The sequence below is a fragment of the Homo sapiens genome, chromosome 9 (genome assembly GCF_000001405.40).
Source record: "Homo sapiens chromosome 9, GRCh38.p14 Primary Assembly".
Lineage (NCBI taxonomy): Eukaryota > Metazoa > Chordata > Mammalia > Primates > Hominidae > Homo > Homo sapiens.
The window spans coordinates 3,217,205-3,239,617 of NC_000009.12; the positions used below are offsets into that span (position 1 = coordinate 3,217,205).

The 22,413-nt window shown below is 36.7% G+C and overlaps 1 protein-coding gene across 31 annotated transcripts in view; it reads right to left on the reverse strand.

Moving 5' to 3' along the window:
• Positions 1-1,092: 1,092 nt before the first annotated feature.
• Positions 1,093-22,413, reverse strand: part of RFX3 (regulatory factor X3) — a 307,705-nt gene continuing 286,384 nt past the window's right edge. For 23 of the 31 annotated variants that reach the window (XM_047423699.1, NM_001377999.1, XM_024447632.2 and 20 more), the window contains 3 exons: positions 12,592-12,654; positions 11,643-11,685; positions 1,093-8,076 (listed from right to left, as the gene is read on the reverse strand). In XM_047423699.1, the coding sequence (XP_047279655.1) occupies positions 7,838-8,076; positions 11,643-11,685; positions 12,592-12,654 (345 nt within the window). In that variant the 3' untranslated portion in view covers positions 1,093-7,837. The remainder of the gene's footprint in view (positions 8,077-11,642; positions 11,686-12,591; positions 12,655-22,413) is intronic. The other 8 variants (XM_047423701.1, NM_001282116.2, XM_047423696.1 and 5 more) reach the window with 1 other exon arrangement.

Sequence of the window (22,413 nt, forward strand, 5' to 3'; positions counted from 1 at the left end):
TTTAAATGTAAGTTAAAATGAATTTGGTGTTTCTGTGGGCTAAGATGCCAACAGTGTAGTTTTTTTGTTTTTTGTTTTTATTTTTGATGGAGTCTCACTCTGTTGCCCAGGCTGGAGTGCAGTGGCACAATCTTGGCTCACTGCAACCTCCACCTCCTGGGTTAAAGCGATTCTTCTGCCTCAGTCTCCCAAGTAGCTGGGACTACAGGTGCATGCCACCATGCCTGGGTAATTTTTGTATTTTCAGTAGGATGGGGTTTCACGACATTGGCCAGGCTGTTCTCGAACTCCTGACCTCATGATCTGCCCGCCTCGTCCTCCCAAAGTGCTGGGATTACAGGCGTGAGCCACTGCACCCAGCAATAGTGTATCTTTAGAGATAACTTTAGGCTACGATCTGGAAGTATTATGGTGGAGATTCCAAAAAGTATATTTTTTGCCTTGTATTTCTTTCTTTTAAAGAAACCCCACATAAATGGGCTATTATATTCTAACAGGAGGATATATATATATATATATATATATATATATATATATAGTGATTTGAAACAAAATTAAATGTGAGGTAAATCATTTTAAACTTGATTAGGGTGGTGGTGGCTACATGATTGTATGTGTCTGTCAATACTCATAGAATTGTACACCAAAAAGTGAATTTTCCTGCAGGTATTCAATGGAAAAAAACTGGCAGCATATATTCTTAACTGTGTTAAAATAAATTTTAATAAGCAAGTTGAATGTAAGAAAGGAACTTGAGTGCCAAATACCAATGTGAAGTGACATGAAACAAACACACTATGAACATCCAAAAATCTGGATTTACAATGGAAATGTGACAGCTTCTGAAATTAAATCGCACTCAATCATTAATTTTCTTTGAGGGTAAGATTTGTACCCTGCTGGGCTTATAATTTTCTCTTTTTGTGCTGTTCATGTGTAAATATTGCCAATTTCATCTGACACAAAAAAGGAAAACAACTTAATTTTGTTTCTAAGTTAATGAATGGCAGATACTACCCTCCAGATGAGGTACTGTATTATTAGCCTCCAGGCAGTGATTTGAGGGGGAAAAAACCCAAGCCATTTCCAATGTATTTGTAACAAGGAAACAAATTTATTGATTTTAAAAGACAAGACACCATTTTGTTTTGAAAAACACAAGAAAGCTAGCCTGAGTTCAAGTCTGAAATATTCAGAAAAATCCTACTAATATCTTTAGTATGTTCCAGTCATTTGTTTAAACAACACACTAAAAGTTAATATATATTTTTATAATTATAAAAGTTCCCCAGTTATTGTACAGTACACAATACAAATCGCCCACAAACTATTATTTAGCTCCTGCCAATTTTGAGAGGACATGATATACTAAAAGATTTAGCATTTCTCACAAAAATCACATCAGGAAATACGTATTTACAAAATCAAATACATTATACAAAAAACCATCACATGTTATTCGGTAAAGATGTTTTTAAATAATTAAAAAGTTTATTCAACTGTAGTCCAAAAACTGGAAAAGAACATTACATTATCTCACACATACAATCTCTACAAAAGTTGCTTACCTCATTTACATAATATATTCAGTCGATTGTAAAATAAATGTTCAAATATCTCCTAGTGTTACTATGTTTCTGTGCTTGTGGGACTGAATAATGTAATCTGCCACTTACTAAGTGAAATTTAAATGATGGCACTTAAAAAAAAATACAGTATCTTAAAAAAACACAATGAAAGAAGTTTTACCTAGAAGGTACGAAAGCCCTGAGTGATAGTGAAGTTACTGATTGGTAAGCACTACAATTAACCTAATTAAAAGTTTACCACCTCAGGCACAAATTTCCAAGTTTTCTCAAGGCACTCACTTAAAGTTTCTGTAACCAATGCATTGGTCACCACCATAGGTCCAAATTGATGATGGAAATGAGTAGAGAAAAAAATTTGCTTTGGTACAAAAGATGCTTTTTAAACGAATAAAGTTCAATAGATTCTTTATTGGGTCATTTAAAATTGTTGTTTAGCAAGTTAAAACAAGGCGATCGTTTCTTCAAAAATACTAATTTACTGAAGGAAAAATTTACTTGGTTATCAACAGTCAATGGGAGTTTTTATATTTTCTTTCCTCCCCAGAATCAAAATTCTTCTAAAGAATATTTGTTGTCCTCGTTATTGAGCTACATAAACAATTCTTACCAAAGATTTTCATTACTCAGGGCTTCCAATCCCAACATCATAATTTATTTAAAAAAAAAAAACAAAGGAAAGAGGGGAGAAAAAGAATCAAACCAGAACCAAATAAAAGAAGAGACAAAACACATTTTTCTTTTTAAAAAAACATATTATCAATTATTTCAAATGAAAGGAAAAAAAAATCCTAGGCAGTCACTTTGTAAGTGGCTTTTACTATTTAAGTAAAATTGGTAAACTAAACTCAGGTCTACTGGCACATAAAATCACTAGCAGCAATGATCAAGGCATGCAAACTGAGAAGCATTTACAGTAAATCATCATGAAGAATTCAAAAGAAGAGAGTTAAATTAAAACCCTTTGAGTATTGCATGTTAACACATGAGTAATTTGCATGGTCTGACTTCCTAAACTGCCTAAAAAGCAACGTTTACGGCATACTTGCACTATGCTATGGATGTCCTTTCACCAGACATCAGAATAGGTTACACTCTTATTTGCACCCAGCTAGGGCAGCGCAAGCACATCTGCAGACAACACTGCTTTCATGTTCGATCACGCAGGGAACAGAGGGAATCAAGTGCACGAAGAGATTCCCTTGAACAAAATCAGCAATGGTGTAAGCAGACTGACATTTAGAGATATCAGAAGCAGTAGTCATAGCATCTCCTGACAGATGAGCTTAAAATCAAGTGCTTTGCTCTCCATTCTATCTATATATAATTTTTTGACAACGTATTAAAGTTTTGGAGCATAGATAAAATTATGCCCTGTGTGAAATTCGCAAACAATATTTTATGAGCGATCTAACTCCAAATAGCCTAACTGCCCCCAAAGAGTTCAGATTCTCTTAATCCACTCGAACTCCTTTCTTCCTAAGGCTTTACTTACACTTGTACTTTCTAAAGCTAAATAAATGAGATCTTTTGATTCATTTTGGGAAAAAAAAGACAAAAAAAAAAGAAACTTAACCCTTTCTTTATACCTTTTAAAGGCAATCTAGGTACCTTCAATGTGCAGAAATCAGTTATGACATAGGTCTATCCAGGCCCATGTATTTGTCCTCCTTTTCTAGAGACTATGGTGTGATACTAGAAAAGTTGATTTTTTTTTTCTGTAAACAGTACACTTACTTAGATGGCAGTGAATATTTGGGAATAAATATATCAAGCCCTCTTGAAGAAAAATTAAGAGTTGTATATAAAATGCAAGTGTTCGGCGTGGAAACACTTTCTCTTCCTACCCCCCCCTTTAAAAAAACAGCATAATTAGACATTTGGATATAGAGTATACTTTACCGGTCTAAGTCTAAATAAATGATCTGAAAGGCTTTTGTCCCCCATTGTATATCTTACAATGCTCAAAGGGTTAATACAAGGCATTACATCAAAGGGGTTTTCTAATACTAGAACTAAGCACTGAATTAATGCTTCTATTCCAGTTTTTAAAAATCACCAAACTTGCAGAAATACTAGGATTCCATTAATTGATTCGTTCTAACCATATACATGGAGGTTGTTCTGATCTAACAACAAGCCCAATTTTCAACAGCACTGCATGCCAATCCTCCTCCCCCATGATCTGCTGTGATTCATACAGATCACAAAAGTTCTCATCTCAATTTCTGGATGGTTGTTCTTTTCTCACCAAGAATGTGTGTGTCTGGGGGATATAATAAAGGTCAATTTATTGTATATAACCACTGCCTCAAATTGTACACAAAGGTGACTTGCCAAGTTTTTTCTTTCTACTTGTGTCCACACAGGGAGGACCAACATCACAGTGACACTATTTTTTTTTTCCTTTTACACTAATGTTTCAAGCACAGCATTATTTTAGACATTTCAAATATATCATCTGAGGAATTTTTAAAAATTTGAAAATGCATTTAGCACTTTTAGACAGTGCATTCATATAAAAAGATTCATGATTACGGCACTAAAACCGTATTCATTCCTGAATAACTTTTACAGCATTCTACAAGAACGTATTCATTTTTACTTGTCTACTACAAATCAAAGGCAGTCAATGCTGCACACTACTAATTTTAGGTATGCAGTGTTAAAACCATTTTCTAAATTTTACTTTTGTTTTTAAAGTACACCATCTAAAGAGAGGTGCATAAACCGTGCTATACAGTACAAGAAAAATCACACAAAGGAAAGCAGATTTCTGAAAAGGCAGTAAGACTTATACAGTCAGTCCAAACACAGTTTGGATGAAAATCCTGAATAAGTGACTAGCAACTTGATAGCCAAAGAAAAAATTGAAAATTGGGCCCTGTCTTCCAAGGAGATGGTTCATCCATTCCACCCTATTGTTCACTGGTTTCATGAATGCAAATCTTTTGAGTATGATTTTCAAACTATATGTCAAGATCAAACTATACCCATGATACTCAATCCTATCATATGAAAATATCTTTTCTGAAACTTGAAAACAGTCAACATACCTTCCTTACATTCTTCCTCACTGAAAGTGTAGGACTTGGTTTATGTAGGTATATTTCATGACTAGTGATTGGTTATAATTGCAAGAAATACAAAGAAGTCTTAAAATGTGTACTTGTGTCATTTGTGAATAAATCTGTTGAGTGTTAGTGTCTAATATTATTTAGAAAACCCACACTTTCAATGAGTGAAAAAAGGGAAAAAGGGAAATAAATGCAATAAATGTGATTGCTCAATTTGCTCAAATGTATAAATTGTTTTTATTTTCTTATATATTTTTCACAATTCAAATTCGAAATTGATGAAAATGTTTGTGTGTATGTCTGTGCATGTTTTACTGTGAACTACAAATAACTAGAAGTAGCATAAACCATAGGTCTTCTTTTTATGTTTTGATCCAAACTACTTACACTAATCACAAAGAATATTCCTAATATTCATAAAGGAGATCAGAATATTTTTATTGAGTCAAGTTCAAATGTAATAATGTTTTATTAGTTCTTAATCTGTCCTAATTTAGAACAAACCATGAACAATTGGAAGAAATGTTGAATCCTGGAGCATCCCCGATCCCTAAGCCTCATCAATCTAAATTTGCCCATTATTACCAGATTCCTGTAATGATACAAATATATCCAACATTAAATTAAACAATGATAATAAATACATTTAAAGTCATTCAATAAACAAAATGAAACCAGTAAATACATTTGGTCCAATACAGATATAGTATCACTCAAAGGATGGCGGGTAGAGACAGGAAACTGAAAAAATTCAGAAAGGAGAGCCAAAATGAAGAGTGTTTTTTCAATTTTTGATTTTAATTTTACCTGTAAACACTTCCTATGCACAATGAAGTAGATACATGAACTTTTGCAGATTATCATGTTTTGTTTGCCTTTTTTGTGTGTGTTTTGGTACAAATCCATTGTCTTTTTGGGAGGAAAAAGGGGGACAGTAATTTAAATGACATTTAGATGAAGGTGATGCTACTATGCTAGTGAAGACTTTCAAATATATGAGTGAGTTGTATAATAAAAAATTTGGATCAGTTTTTAAAATTACATCTAAAATATTTAAATTTTACTTAAGAAATGTTGTTGATGTTATTTGAGTAGTCTGAGGCAATTAAGCAACAACAGCTTAAATACACTGTGTATTACCCGATAAGCCATTTGGTATTTCTAACTTTACAGACTGGCTCACCTCGTCTTTCCAACCCCCCACCCCCCTTACCCCAATACCACTGGAAAGATAAACATCTTGGGTTTAATATAGGCCTCATTTGATAATCTGTCAATCATTTTGTGCTTTCCTTTTTTTTGGCTTTATTATCTATTTATTTTTGCTGATTAGTTTTTTACAACTATTTAAATGAACAGATGTGCCTTTCTTGTGTTTTAATCATTAAATAATTTGAGTGCTTAAAAGAACCTTGGCTTTTCATGCAAATTAAAATGGGGCTGGGTGTAACTCTCTAGGATCTCACCTTCTGACTTTATAGCAGACTCCTGCCCCATGGGCACTCATGTGTCCATGTGGACTCACCAGCACCTAGACACACAGACAAACATTTAGACTGAAAAGATGCACTTCGATAAGTACCTGCTTACTTTGTTAACTTTCTAAAATTGTAACTAAATAAGAATGGTCTAAAACATATATGATTTTATGTTAACAAGTTGGTATTAAAACTAGCCTGCTATTCCACACCCTTAAGCAATCTGATTTGTAATCAAGTAATATTCAGCTCTAAGAATAAAAAATAGATCCACGGTCACTCAAAGAGGGAAACTGATTTTTGTCTTTTTGTTTTCCTTTGTTTTCCCTAAATTTCCTTTGAAGAACATGTCACCTGTCCTTACTTCAGGAATCTGAAAATGACAGGCACACTTTGTCAAATGGATTGAAGAGTTAGTCACATGAACAAAATAAACCTTACTAAACCTTAGCTTCAGTTCTGTTTTAAGGCACCATGTAATAGCCGAGGTACGATGATCCCTGATGTACATTCTTCAATGGCAATGGTCCATCCAGCCACCTATCCAAATCCTACAGAATTGGGGATAAGTAACAGTGAGGTGTGCCAGTTACACTGCCTTCAGGTTCTGTTTACAATTTAAATCCACATACTTTAGAAACCAGGAAATAGTTTTGAAGGAAATAACGTTATGTAGGTTGCTACATTCCTTGCATTCTATAAATTCTCGTTTATAATAGCAGCATATTGAACTACTATTAGGAAAAAGACCTGGAATAAAAGAAAGTCATCCAAATGGAATGGTTTCCTGTATGTCCAGCTCAGCATAAGTAGCATGTACACTTAAAAAAAAAAAGTCAAGTCTTTTTTTTCTGCTTCAGTATCTAACTATAACAGCCCCCACTTAACAGCAGAATGCATCTGTGCAGTGGTCCCAAATACAGAATCAGTAGTCTTTAAACAGAGGAATTGGTATGCAAATAATAGTTAAAATTCAATGTTTAACGGAAGCTTGCATTGTTAACATGGTTTAATAATTATGTACACAAATTATGTACATATTAGCATAATCTCTTGCAATTCTGTCATTTACTCTGAACTGATAAATGTACAGCTCATTTTTTCCTCAGAGAAAAATAGATGACCTTCCAAACCCTCTAGCACTATAATAAAAATGCTCTGTATTCTCTCTCCATACTCAAAATGTTATCAAAATAGTGTCTTATGGTTCTGTCCAATGAAAAGCACCTTTCAAAAGCAAATTTGATGCATCTGCTGCCAAATGGGCATGCCTCCAGTGTAAATCAAAAAAATCATTTCTTTTGATATTTCACAGAAGTGCATCTAATTAAAAAACTTACACATGAAATCATACACCAAGACTAACAATCAACAATAAAATATTTTAAGCTACAAAAAATGTAAATTACTTTTTAATTATAAGAAAACAAAACATTGACATTAAGTGTTGTAAAAATCCTTCTTGACACCTGAAACTAAGGGAAAAAATTCATTATTAAGAAGCAAATAATTTGTTTACGTTAAAAAAAAAGATCTGGCAAAATACATACACCCATTCCATTTCACAACTCCAAAAAGTTAATGTTCAGCACAGATAGAATTTGACAACAGTCGACCTTCAGGCTTATTAAATTTTCAACTTAAGCCCAATATCAACAGGGTTAATGTAAGCTGGAAAAATACGCTTTAATATTCTTTAGACTGCAGTGTAGGTATTTCCTGTAGCGCTGCACTGTCTGATAGTCTGAGTACTTGTGACAATGTGCTCGCTGTGAATTGGATTCAGGAGGCTTGGTTGCACGCCAGTCTCGAGAACAGGCTGCATGCAGCCCACTGGAAATGCCTGGCTCAGCTCTGTTTTCTCTCTTTTGGCTTGAGGCTCTGAAGAGTCATCCAGTTCTTCATCCATTTCACTTTCTACTTCACTGCCTTCATCTGCACAAACAAATAATACCAAGACTATCATCGAAGACAAATTAGAAAATAGCAATCAACAGGTGCTTTAGAAACACTTTAATATAGGACATTACGAAAGCAACAGCTTAGCTCTTCTCAGGAAACAAAGCTTAGAGGTTTTCTTTTCATCAGATTTTATTCATATCAATGCTGTACTGATGCATCTATAATTCTTTCAAACATAGTGAGATTAATTTACTTTTGGCAACTTGTGATTGATACTTTGTTAACTTTTTTAAAAAAAAAGGCCTTTGGAATTTCCCTAAGTGTTATATTAAATAATGGCATAATTTGTGTCATAATAAAATAGTCACTTTGGTATGTTATGCTGGCTTTTGGGGAATGTACTGAGCTGAAAACGCAAACACAAAAAAAGTGTTGTTTCCTCCAAAAATCTACACTAAATATAAATTTTATCTATGCTAGCGTTAATGTATAAGACCTATGTTGATTCTTAACATTATTATTCCATGTATAAACAGAGGCTGCTGTAAGACTTTCTGGCACTCATCAATGTCACAGTATTAAATAAACCCTTAATTTTTATTATAAAAATTATTAAGGTTGAGGCAGTAGTATCAGATTAAAAATGTGCAATGGATTTCCATTCTTGGCAACTGATACTGTTAATAGCTGGTATTCATTTCTGGAAATTAAATGCATTATATAGTCACTGTTACCCCCAAATTGTAATACGTTTTATATTAACTAAAGCATCATTATAATAGAATGCCATTTAATTTTTTCCAGTATGCACTGTTAAAATTCAAAAGTACATTAGAGAGAGAAAATGCACATATACAGCTTTACTATTGTGTGAGAGTCTCCTCAGAATACCTCTTCATGAGGGATAATTACAGTGGCTTGTATAAACAGAGTCAGGTCTCCATTCTCTACTGTTCTATGGCATATCACATACAATGAATGTGCAACAAGTATCTCTTTAGTCAGATTAAGCTGGATTCTTTGCAAGCAGTAAGATTTTAACTTTACCACTTGGCAGACACCCACAGCAAAAATCTCTGCTAATGCAGCTGTCTCTATAAACAAGGCCCCTTGACTTTTCTTATTTCATTATGACTAGGGCAAAGTTTGTTCTAGAAAAAAGCAGTGAGAGGTAAAAGGGCTTCCATATATGGCTGTACAGTGTACAGCCACCATGAGCAAGGTCTGAGAAATGGCAATTTGTGATTAAACAGCTGGAGATTAACATGCATTACCTAGAAATGTGTGTCACGCATTAGTGACCAATAAAACAAAGAAGTGCTCTTAGATGAGGCAAAAGACATCTCGGCCCACCGACTTTATCAAGTTACCTATTTGCCTCTGGTAAATGAACTTAATGATAATATTTGAGTGTGTCAGAACAAGTACATTCAAAGGGTTGGAGGGCTACAGGGAGAGGGATACCTTTTGTAGACATTTACTTCATCAAGAGGGTATACTTGAAACATGTTTGCATGATATGTTTTGGTTTTTCATGTTTTTATACATAAAACAACAATGTCTGTAAGGATCTTAACACAAACTCTTCATGGTGGCAGTCTCTTATGGTTGTGATAATAAAGCTTCACTTTCTATAGTTTCTAATTCTCTGTATTATTTGAAATTTTTCTACGGAGCAAATATCCCTTATATTATCAAGAATAAGAATTCTCATTTTGTGGGAGAAGCCCTCAAAACCTCCTAGGATTTCACATTCAGTCTTTAGGTCCTGAGTATGCCCATCTGGCTCTAACTCAAGAGCCATCAAGAGGTCTGGGGGTAAATGGGACCAGCGTGGCCACATCCAGCAGGTGAGGACAAGTCACACTGCTTCTCTGCTCCCTGTCCACAGACTTCCCTGTACCTAAGAAATTAGTGTCAAAATAATAAAAAAGGGAGCACTGAAAAGACAAAAGCTCATTTTCAGGCAGGGAGGGCAGTGGAGACAAAGTGAGGAAAGTTCCTCTGTCTATTTTGTTGTGGATGGAAAGGGTAGTGAGAAAATGGACTGGACGATTTAAGTGTTCCAGGTAGGTTTTGCTTAGGTCTATCTCTGGGTGACAGGTTTCCTTTGGAGAACTTACAAAGCAACTTATAAAAGCAAGCCCATTCTCCAGGTCCTAAGGACAAAGGAATGTAATTCTGTAGACATTTTATGCTTCTATAAAAACTCGAAGACACTTTCTAGAAATCTACTTCAGGTTATGGAAATTTGGTGCATAAAAACTAAAATTAGGCGCTACAGGAGTTTACAGAAGACTGTGGTTCAGCACCGTGTGAAGAAGCCTGGCTGGAATTCAGTCTCTGACTGAGCAGTAAAACTCTACTGTCCTTCTGGACACCCTGGGATGAAATCCCTAAATTTGGGTTATGAGGCTTTGGTGTGAGTATATCATCAGTGTTGCTTTATGTGGGACACGGATATCAATTACCACCTTTCTTGCTCTAAAATTACTAATTAATATCATCATTGACTTATTTTTCTAAGGGTTATTTGGTTAATCCTATAGAGTATATATTTGTAGCAACAATTTTTTTGGCTATAATTTTCTCATTTCCCTGCGCTGCTAGTGTACTGAGTACCTTAATATTGCACACTTTGGCGAATAGCGCCGAACCTCTTTACAGACTCCCCACGTACTTCTTTTCACCTCATTTTGCCCAGTGGCTCTGGCCTGGAAGGGCTAAGTGCATAGTTCTCCCCAGTTTTTGTGCATTTTGTACCTGTCGCCGATAGTCAATAACCGTAACAATTCTTTAACACCTCAAGAGACCTCCCACCCTCCGCCACCTTTTAAAAGAAAGGGCTCTGTTTCCTGCAGTGGTTAATAGATAATTTACTTGTTTTTAAAAATTGCACTGGTATATTTATCAGTATTGTTTTGCTTCTGCTCTGCTTATAAAGGTGGGTAAGATTTGTGTGCTCTATCCGCATTCTATCTCCCCCTAAGTCCACCTTGCTTTTTTTATTGTGTGATTTTGTTGATCTTGAGGTTCTTCAGAAATATATATCATGTTATCATATTATACTGTATATTAGAGTGGCAATGCTGATATTAAAATTTCAGAAGTACATATGTTACCTTTTTCATCTATACCACTACTAATCTTGCATTTACAGTAAACCTCACTGCTATCTCTGAGTTCTTTTTCTACACACAAGTAGGAACTGGTGAGGTAGGTGAGCCGAGGAATCTTTTTTCTTGCCTGGTGGGCCTTGAATAAAAATGTCTCATCCAATTTTATCACTTATCTCCAGGACTCTAGCCATGGTCAGAAATAATTTCTTGTTGCTTGTAATGAACTTCAGGAAAAAAGTATAAAGAATTTTATAACTACATTTAAATTCAGTTATCTGCATTTAATATACCTCATATGTAGAAGGCATAGGGATGGGGAAAAATGGAGAAATAATGAAAAGACAGGAGTTTCCTATTTATCTAGGATTTGTATGCCACTTCCACAAAATCAGAGTGTTGTAAACATATACCGTATTTTCCTCTGTAAGAACTTATTAATAAATAAAAGTTCTTAAAATGTACATTATTTTCGATTCTTACCTTTATCCAGATTTCCAGGAGACACGGCATTTAAATCACCAAACTGCAAAACAATAGTCATTTGTGCAATAGTTAATATAGGGCAGAATAAAATAATACTCTATCAGTCTGTAGTAAAAATGCCAATCTATGACTCTTTAAAACTGTAAACTAGTGGCCATTTTGATCTCTAATTACATGGATCACATAATTTTCCAATCAAACTTGTCAAATTTGAACAGTTTAAATTATGTCACAATTTAGCTGTCTTAGCCTCTTCGCAGAAGGATAACAATTTTCTCTGCTTTCCTTGCTCCATTTTACCTTTTATTATTTCAACTCAGCAATGAAGAAATAGGAGCCTGGATGACTTGGATGAAGACTGATGTGGCAAAACGAATTTGGAAAAGCCCCAATCAAGCAGGACACATCAGCTCCACCCCCTATACTTGGCAGATGAGTCCACCTGGAAGTCTCTACATTAGAGAAACAATATCCAGCAGTTTGGCTGAACTCTATTTTTAAAGCTTTTATTAGTAAAAAAGGAAAATAGAAACTCCAAAATTGAGTGTATTTGTTTTTACAAAATCTTTGAGACTTCTCTCAGATAATAGGGTCTCACTTTAAAAAGAAAAGCATCTGATCATTACTAATGCCAACAAAGAGAGCTTGAAACAATATAGAACAATTAATAGCCTTCGGCTTAGACATTATTTTCTAACTTTTAGTTCAATAGTTTGATAATTTTCCAATGAGAAAACACATTTTGAGAATCTCAGGGTGAACAAAGATGGATACACTGAAATAAAAATTGAATAGAGTAACAAAGCTAATCAAAAAAAGGTGAAGAGAAACTGCAAAGCATCTACTTTTAAAACAGTAAACATTACTTTTTTAAGGTAATAAGTCATTATTAGAAATTCAGATTTCTCAACAGGCTTAGAAAGGATGAGGCAGAAATTCTACTTACATTCAGAAGTTTGCTTATAAAGAGTTCCATGATAGGAGTATTTTTTTCATCTACAAGGTTTGTCTATAAAGTAATAAAACTGATCTTATTTTGCAAACATACACATATTTTTTTCCTTACCTAGACAAGTACTGTTCTTCACAGTAGCTACCTTGGGAGCTTATACATTTATTCCAAGGTCCAGGGTTCTGGAATCCCTCTTTGACAATTTCAAGAGTTAGTTTATGCATCATTAGGAAAGCCCATCTTGTTATTTTACATCCAACTATGGCTCCAAACAACACTCCAGATTTTATTTACTACACTTGGTCCTGGGATGATTTGACTACTCAACAAAATTAAATTCACCTCTGCCACAATTCAGGTTACTTAAAATAATGTCATTTCACCTTTATTTCTTAGCATTTCAGAGGCATTCCACAACATATTTAAGCCATAGAAGCATTACTGGAACAAATGTGTAGCCTTCCTAGGTGACTGCTTTGAAGGAGACAGGGGCCTCCTAGACATGTAATTATTAGTATGTTTATTTGAAAGTCTGCCCCACTGTTTTAGAGCTATTTTTTAGAGTTATTAAAAGTAATGGAAAAAACCACTATTACTTTTGTACCAACCTAATACATCCCACGGGGCAACAAATATAAATCATAAATACTGAAGTTTTGCAGTTGTTCTTGATCACATAGGTCAGGTCTTTTATAAGTCTAAATAAAAATTCAGTGTAAATTATGTGGATTTTCTTGAATTAAAGAATATAATCTAAACAACAAAAACCCAGAGGGATTCTTCATCAATTTTTGGTATTATTTAAATATTTTAGAACTATAAACAGAGAATGTTCAAAACTGAAGGATCATTTAACAGTTATTACTAACTGACATAACACAAGAAGATACAGATTTAAGGGAATACTTAACACTTAAGTTCTTGAAAGGAGTTGGTAGTGATGATTCTAAACACACCTTTATACTGATAAAAAGTGAGTATTCTATTTGCTGTTGAAAAGTCTCTGCAAGTTGTTTGTAGTTAAGTTATTATTGCTATTGCTGATCAATAATATCACACAAAGTGTCTAAAACCAAACTCTGGACATATTTGAAAATTATCTTCAAAAGAAACATTGCATTTAGTTGCTACTTAACTCCGAAAACATGACAACTTCCTTAATACAAAGATTTTCCTTAGATGTTTCTACTTAATACGAATAATACATTTGATAATTCAGAGGCTGAAAACAGAAACCAAAACAGCTGAAATCTCAGTGATTGTTATTATCATTAACAAAAATCCAGTTACATACTAAATTCCGAGGCTTGTCATTATGCACTATGGGGGACAATGTACAAAGAATGTCAGAGACACTGTCAATACCTCTAGGTGTCTCTGGGATCAACGACAAAGTTTCACATGTACAGCAAATAGAGAGAGTAGATTAAAAATTTTAAAAATCCTGTGAAGAAGAGATAAGATTTTACTATCCTATAGAGCTGAAGGTAAAGGCTTTTATATGCATTTTACATGTGAGGGGACAACAGATGTAAAGTTACAGAGGAAAAAACACTTTAACCCTATAGATAGGCTGCATGAGATCCGCAAAATCAGTTCACTTACTCATTTAGTCAATACATATTTATTGAGGATTTACTACTTGCCAGGCACTATGCCAGCCAATTCTAGTCAGATCAATTTGGAAATATTCCTGTCTTCAGGAGGTAAGTAGCAGACATTCCCTATATTCTGAAGGGTAGGTAGGTTAGCAGAAAAATGAGCGCTTAGGAAACCTCAGGGAAGGTTTTAGAAGTATAGGGTTCAAGTCTTAGAAATGGAAACCAATTGCATGGGTTTATGGCATGCAACAAGTCAAGCAGCAGGAAGGAAGGGTATGAACAGTGGCAGGGAAGATTGAGAGCAGGCAGAAGAAAAATAGTACCATAGATAGGGGCCAGATGACAAGATTAGGCCAGCACAAATCAAAAACAGAAGAGAGGTCAGGCATGGTGGCTCAAACCTATAATCCCAGCACTTTGGGAGGCTGAGGCGGGTGGATCACCTGAGGTCAGGAGTTCGAGATCAGCCTGTCCAACATAGTGAAACCCCATCTCCACTAAAAATATAAAAATTAGCTGGGCATGGTGGCGGAGGCAGGAGAATCACTTGAACCTGGGAGGCGAAGGTTGCAGTGGGCTGAGATCGTGCCACTGCACTCCAGCCTGGGCAACAGGAGCGAAACTCTGTCTCAAAAACAAGCAAGCAAGCAAGCAAGCAAGCAAGCAAGCAAACAAACAAAAAACAGAAGAGGAGGAAGCAGTAAAAGATTTAGATGAAAAAAAAAGGAAGCTCACAAGAAACTATAGGGATTATTATGAAGTTGCAGCATCACAAATTGGGAAAACTTACTGTTTTGTAATTTCTCCTCTTGCACAAAGGATTAGAGGGGGCTACTCTTCACTGACGTGACATCTTACCACTTATAAGGTGTGTCTGTGGTTCAGTATACAGTAGGCTTTCTCTCAAACAGACTGCGAGTGTCACACAGTCAATATTGCTTCCCTGAAGCTTTCCTGGCAGCCCTATCTTGAGTATCACCATCCCTGTCACTCTCAGTCACCGCATCATGCTCACTTCCTACAAAGCACCCACCACAACCTGCCGAACTTATTTTGTTTCCTCACCTAATATATGTCTTCCCAACCAAAATGTTACTGCCATGGGTAAGAAAGTTCATTTGTTCTCTTCATAAATGTATCCCACCTGGTATAGTGCCTGATACACATTAAAGGCTGAATAAATACTTACCAGATGAATGAATTTACTTCCTCATTTCAGCCTCACCAAAACAACTTAGGAATTTGGCAAGTTAAGTGTTTAGATTTCATCTTACAGCTATTGAAAACAATGAGTTGATTAGTCTAATGTCATGTAGTAAATATGGTGTTGTTAGATTTGAGACCAGATATTCTCCTTGGTTTAGAATCTGAGAGAGAGAGAGAGAGAGAGAGAGAGAGAAATGGGATGGGATGTGGGGTGAGAGAGGGAGGGGAGGGAGGGGAAGGGAACAGAGAGAGACAGACAGAGAGAAACACCCACACATGGAGGAAGAAATATAAATTAAGGGATTTTAAAAGTACTCTGGAGTTAGAAAGTATATGGCCTTCAATGTATGAATTCACATTCCATCAGTCAGAGAGATAAATAGGAAACGTTCCGAAGAGAAACTAGAACAGACAGTAGAGAAAGCATGTCTATTGTTTGAGAGAAGAAATACTTCCTATCCTATAGACTATTTCCTCTGGGTCCTGACTAGGGTCAAAATAACGAACACCTCACTGGACAACAGCAGGCTGGGAAATGCATGCTCCAGGCAGCCAGTGAGAGTCTATTAGCACAAATATTCGTGTAAGACTAGCAATGTCCATGAAGTATAAGTGGGCAACAGCTTAGCACAGCCAGGGCAATGATCGGCAGGATCCCTGAGAGACCCTGGGTTGTGGCCAGGCAGCTGGATTGTTCATTACAGGATTTTGAGGCCTAGTATCTATACCTGAGCATACTGAGAGGAACCTGGCTCAGCGTGGGAGAATGCAGCCCACAGGTGCATTAAAGAGACCACTGTACATTCAATTCAGCAACAGCTGACTTTTCATAGTGAGGCAGGCAAGCCTTGTTCTGTAATGTTTGGGCACTGAAACAACGCAGAGGAAGTTAGGGTGCCTAGACAGCAAACAGGTGGGGATCCATGGTGGGGGCCAAGAAACAGAGACTGGAACAGAAGTAGGAGAGAAGGAAAGAGCTCAGGGGATTGGGATGAAGACCTCACCCTTAGGGACACCTTCCCTGCTGGAAGAGTTTACCCCACCCTGAGGAGAAAGAATTAGTGAGTAATCATAATCACATTTATGTTATACGTATCATTAATTCTTTGTAAGCACAGCCATCGCTTGCTAATTGTTTAAGCAAATCTGTAACAAGTTCCCCAATAGTGTTAATTTGGATCTTTCCAAAGAACCAAGATAAAGTACTTCGCATAGTGCCTGGCACATAAGGAAGCACTTAACAAATGATCACCATTATCAATATTGTTATTATGTATAAATATCATCATTATCTCCCAAGAACTGTAAACCAGACATGCAGAATCAGTCCGACTCTACTATCCCAGTACTCTGAAAGGATACCAAAAGCTGCATAGAAAAATTGCATCTTACAGAAAATCTCCCTGTTAGTATATCCAGATTACAGATTTACGGGTAGGCACATTTTCATCCTTCCTCTCTGTCTCTTTCTCTATTTATATGTCCAAGTCTAATATCACTATGTTAACTATCACCCAGGAAACAAAATAAAACAAAACTGATACCAGCAAAATATGAAAGTGTATGGTCTAGAAGAGGGGCTGGCACACTTTTTCAGTAAGGGACCAGATGGTAAATATTTTACGCTTTATAGTCCATTAGGACTCTGTCACAGTTATTCAACCCTACCAGTGTAGTGCAAAAATAGCCATAGATAACAGGTATATGAATGTGTGTAACATAGCTCTAATAAAACTTTACAAAAACAAGGCTGGGCACAGTGGCTTACGCTTGTAATACTAGCACTTTGGGAAGCACAGGTGTGCGTATTGCTTAAGCCCAGGAGTTTGAGGCTAGCCTGGGCAACATGGCAAAACCCCATCTCTACAAAAAATACAAAAAAGTTAGCTGGGTGTGGTGGCACACGCCTGTAGTCCCAGCTAGTCGGGAGGCTAAGGTAGGAGAATCACCGTCCAAGGTGGTCGAGGCTGCAGTGAACTGTGATCGTGCCACTGTACTCCAGCCTGGGTGACAGAGCAAGACCCAGTCTCAAAACAAACAAACAAACAAACAAAAAAACCCAAAAGCACCCCACCCCAAAATCAAACCACTTCATTTACAAAAACAGATGATGAGCTGGATAGGGCCTGTGGACCACTGTTTGCTGACACCTGACTAGAGGAACAGCTTGTAAGACCCTGGAAGACCTGCTCCAGCTCATTAACAGTGAAGGGAACAGAAGATTTTTATCTTTCAGAAAGGTATATAAGGACTTGGGTCACAGGAAGGATACAGAACCAGAGCCTTCAAGAGAGGACAGCTCATGCATATGGGCATCAACTGATGAAGGTCACAAGGGAAAAGTAAGAGTCAGCTTTTAAAGACAGAAATGAGTGAGAAAAATCATCTTCCTCCACTTTCGCTGGGTACTTGCATATACAGGCAAAGAGAGACAGACCAAAGCTGGTGTTTAATTGTACGCATTCGTGGATGAAGACGGAAGAAGTCGAGAATGACAGAAAAGATTTCATTAAAGTTTGCAAGACAAGAGATTAGGGAAAAGTTTACATGTGTTATTCAGGTGGGGCAAGCTTCCCTAACGGGACATTTGCTCCAATTTGGGTGGCAGGTGAAGACGTAAAGAGAGAGTCTAATATAGAAGTTTTCCATAGGTAAAAGCAAATAGGGAGTGTTCCAGATGATGACGGCTTTCAGCGTGGGTCATCAATGGAGAAAGGACAGTACGATGTGTGGCAAGGAGAGGAGGAAGCAGGAAAAAATAATATACTGGAGGAAGAACCTATAATCCGTAAGTCTTCAATGAGCAATATTCATTCAGAGGAATATAGCTTTCATACTGTAACATACCTATTGCTGCTGCAACAAATCACCACAGTTAGTGGCTAAAAACAAGACAAACTTATTATTTTGTCATTCTGGAGGTCAGAAGTTCTAAATGGGTTTGCAGTCACTAAAATCAAGGTGTTGGCAGAGTTGTGGTTCTTTCTGAAGTGTCTAGAAAAGAATTTTTTTTACCTCTTTTTCAGCTTCTAGAGGTTGTCACCATTCCTTGGTTTCTGGCCTCCTTCCATTTTCAAAGCCAGTGATGTCAGGTTGAGTCTCACACATTGCGTCACTCTGACACAGATTCTTCCACCTCTCTCTTCATGTTAGTATGTAGTATTCTACATACTAACAATGTAGTTACTCTTGTAACTACATTGGGCACACCTGGATAATCCAGGATAATCTCCCCATTTAAATTCAACCAATTAGCAACCTTAGTTCCACTTATAACTTAATATATTCACAGGTTCCAGGGATTAAGATGTAGACATTTTAATGCCCATTCTACTGCTTATCACACATACATAAGTTATTTTTTTAAATTATCACATTTGCTTGAGTGAAACCATATGACTTTTTTTTTCTAGTATTGGAGGAAACACATCCAACCCGATTAAGCTATTTGGGACATAGCAATTTTTTCCTCAATTTTGTTTATGTTCCTCACTAAGGATAGGGTACAGTGGTATATAGGAATCAATTAATCTTTTATGATATATTTGCCACTAGTACATTTGTACTTTATTTTTCATTTACAGACTTTTAATTTTACATACAAGTTCCTACCGGTCTGAAAGTGTTTACAGCATGCATTTCAAGGCCTAGGCTGTTGACACCATACATGCATCTAAAAAGTCTATGAGGTTCACAGAGCTGAACGTTGTCAAGGAAGTTGACAAGGAAGTCATTCAGAGAAAGAAGTGGAAACCAAAATTGAGGAAACCAAAATATACTGAGGGATAGGAGGGACAGAGCAGTCCTAAGCTCCATATCCAAAAGAATATGTTAAAGTACACACTAAGGAAGAGGATATATCCTGGTCCTCTGGACAGTTTCATGAGCACCAACCCATGCTACCAGCTGCACCACAAGCAGCCCCAAAGACCTTGGAAAGCCCTCTGTGTCAGCACTTCTCAATGGTTCCATGAGGATCCATGCTGTGCAGAGGTGGGCAGTCAGAGGCCAAGGTGCTGGCATGTTATCAGATGGCGGAAGTGACCACAGGCAGTGGACACAGCAGGACACACAAAGCAGACACCACATTGCTAGAAGCATTCCTGCTGACCTGGGAACATGATAATCAGCAACAGATAGTCCACATATGTGAAAATGTTAACCAGAAAAGACTACTCACTTGAGGGTCATCAGGTACCTTGGAGACCAGTTCTGCCAGCAAATGGTAACTTTAGATAAACAAATGTAGGGGAGAAAATATGTATTTGTATATGTATACATTTTGCCAGTTTCTGTGAATGAATCATTTGCTCTAGGAAAGAAGATTTTTAAGCTGTCACAGGCCCAAAGAACAAATGATTATAAACTTTTCTGAAATAGTTTCTATCTTGTGGCTGGAATAAGATATCTCTTTGGGAAGCAACCTTTTAACTTGCTTAAATTCTATACATTATCCTTTCTCTCCACTTCACAAGTACTTACAAAACCTTTCATTCATTTCTACTATTTAAGATTTAATTCAAGTCTAGCTATGACTGTCTAGTTAGAACTAATTATGTTTATGCTTCTTCTCTAATGTTCCCATTTTCTTTTCTAATTGACTTGTTTTCCCACTCTATTTTGTTGTTTGTGTTTTTCAAAGCATTGAATTAGTTTGCCTTTGATTACCACTTTGGCTACATACCAAAGAATGCTGTTGGATTCTTTGTAATTCCATGAATCATTTGACTCAACATTCAAAAATTGTTTGCAGAGTATTCTTCCAGTAGCAGTACAGTATTATCAATGCCTTCATATGTCTTTTTTTATCTGTTTTATCAATTTCAACTTTATCTTTGTATGGTCCAAAAAATGATGATCTAATTATATACATTATTACTTGGATAGTCAATGCAGAATTGGTATTTAAAAATCTAATCCAGAGTAGAAGGCAATCAAATACTTATCAGATATTTACATATTTATGGAAAGGGGAAGGAGATGGAACTAACAAAGATCAGGAACCTACTATGTGCCTGTCTGCCTGCCTATCTACTCTACTTACCTACCTAAATTAATCTTCACAAAAGCCCTATGAAAAAATGTCCTTATGCTTATTTTGTTGAGGAGAAAACTAAGACTCAAGCAAGGATATTATATATAACTTTCCCAGGGTGCAAAGATATTAAATGGGAAATATAGAATTTAAATACAGGAGTGGAGCACAGCATGGGCGGAACAACATAAGAAGTGGAGCCAGCCTGACCTGGGTTTGAATCACAACTCTACCACTATCCCACGCCTGAGCCCATGAGGTCAAGGCTGCAGTGAGCTGTGATTGTGCCACTGCACTCCAGCTTGGGTGACAGAGCAAGACCCTGTCTCAAAAAAAAAAAAAAAAAATTGTGTGCTCCCAGACAAGTTAAACTCTTTGAGCCTTAGACTTCCCAATATATGAACAGACAGTTCACAACGTGAGGACTGAATTTGTTCGTGTTTGCAGAGGGACCTAGAACAGTGCTTCTACCGTGTCACATTATCTTTAAAACTCAATTTTCAAATACTATCGATAAAACAGTAAAATTCCATTTAATAATAAGGTCATAAGATGGTGATTTTAAAATGAAATAAATGCCTCTAGCTAAGTGGGATTCCAGGAAGCACAGTCTAAGAATGGAAGGGTAAAGTGGGCTTTGACGTCAGGTTGACACTGTAAACTCAAACTAGGACTGGAGCTGGAAGTCGGTTTATGCACTGATCAAGCCATTTATGATTCAAGCCAGCAAATACCATGAGAAGGGCTGGCCTGAGAAGGGATGAAGTGCTTGTGTGTGCATGTGTTTGCTGGAATGGGGGTGATTACACAACTGGAAATAGCTGATGAACTTAGATGAGTTATCAGCATGTAAACCTTGGCCTAACCCGAGTGTTTCTCTCTGTTCTTCAAAGAAGTCAATGAAGAAATAGGCCCTTTAAAGCCCTTTTTAGAGAATCAGGAAGATTGTTCACACGCAGATTTGGAACTTCCTGACTCAATGCTTCTCTTTTCAGCATTCCATACTTAACTTGAACTTTGCAACATTCTGAATTTTACAAATAATATATAGCTCTGCAATTTCCTGTGATTTCAATTCTATTAACGTTACTTAATAAAAGTGATCAGTCCGAGGCAGGCGGATCACGTGAGGTCGGGAGTTTGACACCAGCCTGACCGACATGGAGAAACCCCGTCTCTACTAAAAATACAAATACAAAATTAGCTGGGCGTGGTTGCGCATGCCTATAATCCCAGCTACTCGGGAGGCTGAGGCAGGAGAATCGCTTGAACCCGGGAGGCAGAGGCTGTGTCATAGTGAGCCGAGATCACCATTGCACTCCAGCCTGGGCAACAAGAGCAAAATTCCATCTCAAAGAAAAAAAAAAAAAACAGAGATAATAAAACTGATTCAAAAAAGGTAGGTAATGGCAGCTATTCTGGATGTTTTTGATGGTGAAAAGAAACATCTTGAAATTTCAATATAAGGAGTCCAGAGCATTATTATTTTCCTTAAATGTCTCCCAAACAAGAACCAAATAAATCAAAGCATTCTGCATTTAGCACTGATACATGGTTTTGCAAGCGAGGAAAAGGTTGCTGACTTTAATTTCTAGTTTTATAATATTTGCAAGGATTAACAACATTCCATTTGGTAAAACCTTGTGTTCCTTGGTTACTTTTCTTTGTATGTGTATGTGTACTTTTCTATGTATCTTTAAATAGTTTTTATTGAAACCTGCTAAGAAGGCCAAGATCTCTGGCAGTTTGCTCCACACGTGGGCAAATCCTGCCCGCAGTGGCTGTTGGTCTTGCTGTTGTGGGCTAGACAGCTATCCTGGCAATGTGTGCTACTGGCCAATCTGTAAACAGGGCAGCATGATTCTAACTGTTCCGGCTTTTCTGCCTGCCTTGGGGACATAGCAACAGGTGTACCTAATTGTGTTTAAATGTCTAAGACACACTTACAAGTGAGTGTGCAGGCGGTGAAGTGTT